At 47.0% G+C, this 7313-nt stretch overlaps 1 annotated feature.

Moving 5' to 3' along the window:
* Positions 6396 to 6945: a transcriptional cis regulatory region, noted in NCBI's record as "candidate enhancer chr2.7113 targeted for multiplex CRISPR interference". NCBI's record gives its function as "positively regulates ARL4C gene expression with high confidence in K562 cells {active_cell/tissue: K562}" and the evidence as "EXISTENCE:mutant phenotype evidence [ECO:0000015][PMID:30612741]".

The following is a 7313-nucleotide window of genomic DNA, read 5'->3' as shown; positions in this document are numbered from 1 at the left end:
TTTATCTATATTAAAAAATCATGTGTTTTCCTCTTCCTCAAACTTTCAAGTAAAACTGATGCTCTATGAAGATGCTTCACACTTATTCAGACTTTACATGCTTCTAAATAGACTTCCTATATGCTGGTGTAAGAAGCCTGAGCTTAAATCCTTTATAGTCATGTGTGCCATAGACTGAAGGTCTGTGTCCCTGCAACCTTCCTATGTAGAAATCCCCATCTCCAATGTGATGGTCTTAGGAGGTGAGACCTTTTGGAGAGGATTAGGCTGTGGGCACAGGGTCCTCATGCATGGGTTTGGTGCTGTTATCAAAGAGACTCCAGGCCGGGCACGGTGGCTCACGCCTGTAATCCCAGCACTTTGGGAGGCTGAGGTGGGCGGATCGCTTGAGGTGGGAGTTCCAGATCAGTCTGGCCAACATGGTGAAACCTCATCTCTAAGTACAAATACGAAAATTAGCCAGGCGTGGCAGCACGCACCTGTAATTCCAATTACTTGGGAGGCTGACGCATGAGAATTGCTTGAACCTAGGAGGCAGAAGTTGCAGTGGGTCGAGATCGCGCCATTGTACTCCAGCTTGGACGACAGAGAGAGATTCTGTCTAAAACTAAAACAAAAACATTTCCCAGACAGCTACCTTGCCCCTTCCACCATGTGAGGGCATGGCCAGAAGGCCTCCTCTGTGAACCAGGAAACAGGCCCTCACCAGACACCAGATTTGCCTGTGCCTTAACCTTGGACTTCTCAGCCTCCAGAGAACTGTGAGAAAAAACCGTCTGTTGTTTATACACCACCCAGTCTGTTGTATTGTGCTATTGCTGCCTGAAAAGGATAAGACAATGTCCATTTTAAGATGCAATTCTCTACATTCCTCCTTCTTACCTGTTTAGCAGCATATTTATTTTCAGTCAAATTCTAGCCTGAACAATAACCTGGACTTACAGGCCACTGCTGACTATGTTCTTAACTGATTAAGCCCCAGGCAGGCAGGGCTCTGCTGCCTTTAGGCTCTAGGTAGCCCAGCTCTGTGAACAGAGCCAGACACAGAGTTGGTGCTCAGTAAATACTTTCTGATGGACAACAAAACAAATAAATGAATCATCAATTCACTTTTGTTGTTGTTGTTGTTTATGAGATGGATTCTCACTCTGTTGCCCAGGCTGGAGTGCAGTGGTACCATCTCGGCTCACTGCAACCACCGCCTCCCGGGTTCAAGTGATTCTCCTGCCTCAGCCTCCCGAGTAGCTGGGATTACAGGCATGCACCACCACATGTGGCTATTTTTTTGTATTTTTATTAGAGACAGGGTTTCACCATGTTGGCCAGGCTGGTCTCGAACTCCTGACCTCAAGTGATCCGCCCGTCTTGGCCTCCCAAAGCGCTGCGATTACAGGCGTGAGCCACCGCGTCCAGCCACCAATTCACTTTCAAACCATGCGAGGGCTGGCTTATACTTGTCTTCCAATTCAACATGATTCCAAGCCTTTGTTTTAAAAGGACCTGGAAGAAGATGTGAACTCTGGCTTTGTGCAATGAAACCTTGCATTCTCCTGTCTCATAGTCCCCTCTGTTTCATTCATAACATGGACAGCCACCACCTTCTGTTCTCTCACTCACAATTTCTCAGGCAGCTCAGTTGTGGAATCTATAAACATTTCTCTCACGGATAAGCCATATTCTTCATGCACATCATGAATTTCTATCCAAGCTGACCTCTCGTATACACCAGGGTGCAGCTGGTGCTGAATGCGGAATGACTATTGATGATCCATTCGCTAGTGATGTTTCTAGAGAAACTGGAAGGTATTTGATGGATTCTCATGAGCCCTATGTCTTGGACACTGCTTGTTAACCTAAAGGAAAACAGCTGATATTGTTCACCTGTATGTCCTCCCGATACTGGGTAAGCGCATTTTAGCCACTCATTCAACATCCATTCTTCCTTCAAGCCTCTCGTGGGGAAGGTTCTAGATGACGATGATACATGATCCTTACCCGCCAGGCATTTGTATTCTCCTAGGTGAGCCCGCCTGAACAAGAAAAATGACATACTTGAAGAATATCAGCTGTGTATACACGATAATAGAAGAATTTTCTCTCTTTCAGTCTCACAGTGGACATATTCAGGGTGGTACTTCTCACCATGGTGCAGACATTTTGAGTCTCAGCGCTTCTGCTTTTCCTGACTTCTGGGGTCAAGGGCGCCCCTTCTGCACCCTCATCCCCACCGGATGACACTCCCTTTCCTCTTTCCTCTCTGTATTATCAGTTCTTTTTTTGTATGTCAGTTGGAACCCTCCTTTCTCCCCCCTCTTTTCTAGATTACTACACTCTCTTAATTCATTTTTATTTTTTTCAGAAAAAAAATTTGCAATCTGTTTGATATGAAGGAAACAGATTGTACGCAAGAAATTGTGCAAAGTAAGATGTCGGAAAAGCGTAGTGCAGAGATATTTTTGGATAATAGTAATAATAGTAGCAAACATTTATTGAGTGCTGAGGCTGGGCCAGGTGCTCCTCCGAGTACTCTGCCCGGATTAATCCATGTGATTTTCAAAAGGGCCACATAAGGTAGACTTTATTGTTATGCCAGTGTTACAGTGGAGGAAACTGAGGCACAGAGAAGAATAATTCAGTTCTGTTCAGGGCAGAGGGAGCCCCTCCCTTATGAGAGATAGGAAGCCCAGTCTACCTTCACCTGTCTGTAAGCATGTGAATCCCCTACGGCTCCTCACAAGGCCCCTCCGCAGTCCTCCCGCCCACCCACCTCTCATGGCTACAGTGCCTCCTGAATACTTTGTTCACTGAATCCTCACAGCACCTACAGAACCTTGGAATAATTATGCATTTCTTATACACAAGAAAAACGAGGCTGAGGCCAGTTAGGAAAGTTCTCCATGATCACAAACCAGCAGGTAGAAATCCAGGATTTCCGCTTAGATCTGACTCCAGAACCTATGCTCTTAGCTACCCTGGGATTGACATGTCTATGCATCTTTGTGTGTGTGTACACATGTGTTCGTGTGCTCCTATGTGCACATGCATATTTATAATTCTAGCCCAGTCCTACAAGCGAATGCAATGTCTGGACATCGGTAATCTGTGATCTGAGCAGCGCGGCACTGAGGACCAATCATGATCACTGAGCATGGCATCGCATTAATGTTCCCTGGAATTCAACCATCCTTATGAATTGCTGACCTGCAGAGATTTAATCCATTAAGAAAAAAAGAAAAAGCCAGCCCAAGTCTCTTCTCAAATGTTCGGGTTGGGTTTGTGATGGGATTGTGATTCTTAGGCAGTAGGTAGAAAGCAGTAGGTTTTTATATTATTTCAAAATGGTGCAAGTTCTAACATTAAGGCTTAATTTTTCAAAACATGTTAACAGTCTGCTAATGTGATTGTTTAAATTTTTCAACTTCCTGTGTTTTAACAGTAAGAAATTATCGTTGTAAAAACTTTTAGTGTTTTGAAAATTAAAAAAATAAATGCTAAAAGCATTGTCACATATACAAATGTTAGAAAAACAAGCTCCCTCGGTTTTTCGTGACTCTGGGCAGCTTTGTGGCTTGTCTGCCATCATCCCAAATCTCTCTCCTGCCCATTCCATGTTCCAGCTTAGAGAATCAGACTTTTCATGTTTAAAGCAACCTAATTTCCTAGGCGAGCATTACGGAAACTAGGAGTGAGATGACATTGGAATGAAGGGGTCAGCCAGGCGCGGTGGCTCACACCTGTAATCCCAGCACTTTGGGAGACCAAGGTGGGTGGATCACCTGAGATCGGGAGTTCAAGACCAGCCTGACTAACATGGAGAAACCCTGTCTCTACTAAAAATACAAAATTATCCAGGCATGGTGACGCATGCCTGTAATCCCAGCTACTCGGGAGGTTGAGGCAGGAGACTCACTTGAACCCGGGAGGCGGAGGTTGTGGTGAGCCAAGATCATGCCAGTGCGCTCCAGCCTGGGCAACAAGAGCAAAACTCTGACTCAAAAAAAAAAAAAAAAAGAATGAGGGGTCTTTCATCATCACACCTAGTCTACTCAGACCCAGGAATTGCCTAAGAGGTCTTGGCATGAGGAGATATTCTACTGGAGAGGTTTTCACTGGCCTTTGAGTCCCTCGCTTCATCCCTACACATCTCCGAGGAAGATGGTTATGTCAGGGGTCCCCAGGACCACCCCCAGGCCGATGATTTGCTGGGAGGACTCACGGGACTCAGCATACAGTCGTACTCACAGCAAGAGGATGCAAAACACAATTAGCATGGGAAAGGAGAGGCTCACGGAGGAAGTCCAGAGGAAGCCAGGTGCAAGCTTCCAGAGTTCTCACCCAGCAGTCACCCAGGAAGTGCCCGACTCCCCCGGTAATGAGCTGTGACATGTGTGCAAGCTTTTATACCAGGCATGCTCACTAGAGCCTCAGTGCCCAGGGTTTTTGTTGGGTTGGCCACATGACACCTCTGCCTGGCACACACTCACATTCCAGACTCCCAGAAGGAAAGCAGGTACTCAACATAAACCGTATTGTTCGTACAAACCGTGGAGGCACAGTGAGCCCTCTGACCAGCTTGGGGAGTGGTGGGAAGCCTCCCCAAACCGAAGGTCCCAGACACCAGCCAAGGGCCATCTTGCAAGCACAGGACAGCGGCCTCAGGCCTGTGGTGCTAACTCTCTTCTGCACGATGCCACGGCTGCCTCGGCCCCTGGCCAGGAGTTTGGGCCTATGAGACACACTCAGGAAAAGTCCGTAGAGCCTGCATGGGACTTCCCAGTGAGGCAGCTCCGCCCGGAGGAACTGGGAACACAGCCCCCAATCCCTCAGACGGGGCCTTGAGGGTGTGGGGCGCAGCTGATGCCCATCCCTGACTCAGCAACACAACCCCTTTACACACGGACCACACACACCTACACACCACACATACACCCCATCACAAACACCACACTCCGCACACCACACCATATACACACATACACACCACAGCACCCACACATACACCACACCACACACACACACCACATCACACACCCCACACCACACACACACACCACACCCCACACAATACACCACATCACATATACCACACCCCACACACATACACATCACACACACCACATCCCACACTCCACACCACACACACACACCACACACACACTACACCACACACCACACATACACCACACTACACACACACCATACCCACCGCCTACCACACACAGAAACACACATCACACACACCACACCCCACACACATACACATCACACACACCACGCCTCACATACCACACCACACACACACACCACACTACACACATACAGACCGCATACACACTACACCACACACACCACACCACACACACCACACATACACCGCACTAAACACACACCACACGCAGCACCTACCACACACACACCACACTACACACACACCACACACACTACACCACACACACATCACAAACATACACACCACATCACAGACACATACACCACACCACACACACCACATGCACACACCACGGTACACAACCTACCACACACACACCACACTACACACACACCACACACACTACACCACACACACACCATACTATAAACACATCACATGCACCACCTACCACACACAGAAACACACCACACACACAAACACACCACATCTCACATACACACACCACACGCACACACACCACACCACACACACACTGCACACACTACCTAGCCCACACACAACCCCCACCTAGCCACACACTCTACCTACCACAAACACAAACACACCACACCACACAGCACATGCCACACCACACATACACATCACACCACATCACACATACACACTGCATCACACATTCACCCCCCCACACACCACACACATACCATACTACACACCACACACACATTCCATACTACACACCACATCACACATTCACCCCCCCCACACCACACACATACAGTACTACACACCACACACACATTCCATACTACACACCACACCACACACACCATAACCACATCTCACTTCATATGTTGCCTTAAAAGTTAAAGGCAGAAGAAACACATCATTTTACCCCTGTGGGGTACTGACTAAATTGCTAAGCAAGGTAACTACTGTAACAAAACAATCATTTTTATAGTCATTTAATTATACTTAGGACTTCAGAGGTAGATGATCTTTTGCAGGTTTCGGTAGATAAAACCAGGGCTCTCATAAAGAAGGCATTTGAATATACATGTCCAATATGCACCAGTTTCACATATCTATGGAACGTGAATTAAATAGACTCCATAAATACGCTCAATCTCCCATCGAAAGTGGACAGTACAACTCGTTATTCTCTCATAGACTCAGGAAACATATTTTTAGATAAATCTGCAGATAATCATTTATTGAAATAATTACAGGCCAGAAAAGTGACCTCTGCCACATTGGTAAAGGGTTATTTTAGGGACTTACATGCAACATAAGCATGCACAGAATTAAGATGAACAATATGGCCTGATGTGACAAGAGAAAATGACAAGAGCTGATATTGTGGAGTGTTTGCTCTTCTCCAGGCATGGGGCTGAGTCCTGAAATGCCCAGGCTCCAACAGCTGTCCCTGCAGCCTCATGAGTGAGGCACTGTGATTATCTCCACGTCACAGACGGGGAGACTGCAGCTAGCGCGGCTGGCCCTCACCCCACATCAGATCGCTGAGTGGAATTAGAGCCCATATCTCACTGACTCCAGGAGCATTGCTGTGAAAACCTAAGCTGAACGCTCTTCCCAGAAAAGTGTGAGTCACCAATAAAACACAAAACATTTCCCGCTTCTATGTTTTCCAAGTAAGTGAATAGAGCATTTAGTTGTGACAGATATTTGAATTTTTCAGGGACAAATTTTTTTGATGAAATGTCACTCAAAAAATTACAAATATTATTCATTCGAGAGTCTGTACTTGAGTACCAACTGGTGCTGTTTTTGAGCAGGGAAAGGCTTTAGGGAAGCTTCCTAAATAATGACTCAGTGCCGTAATTACAGGTCGACGTAGCCGAGACACTATTCTCCATTGATTTCTGCTGCTTCTCCATTGCCGTTACCTAGTTACCCAGACATCATGGGGCTAGACTCTGGACCATCTGGTACTTTCCAGCTGTGCTTTAGTCCAGGAAGTCCATCTAACCCACTGTGTGCAGCTGTGTCTCCGCCTGGACACACTCAACAGGGGTTGCTGGGATGACCCATCAGGCCTGGAAGTAAAAGCAGAAGGCTGGGACCCCAGTGGCCACCCTGCTAATAACTCACTCCCCTGGCTGGCTACTTGCTTCCAATG

The sequence above is a fragment of the Homo sapiens genome, chromosome 2 (genome assembly GCF_000001405.40).
Source record: "Homo sapiens chromosome 2, GRCh38.p14 Primary Assembly".
Lineage (NCBI taxonomy): Eukaryota > Metazoa > Chordata > Mammalia > Primates > Hominidae > Homo > Homo sapiens.
The sequence above is the reverse complement of the archived record's forward strand: the minus strand, read 5'-3'. Positions and strand labels throughout refer to the sequence as shown.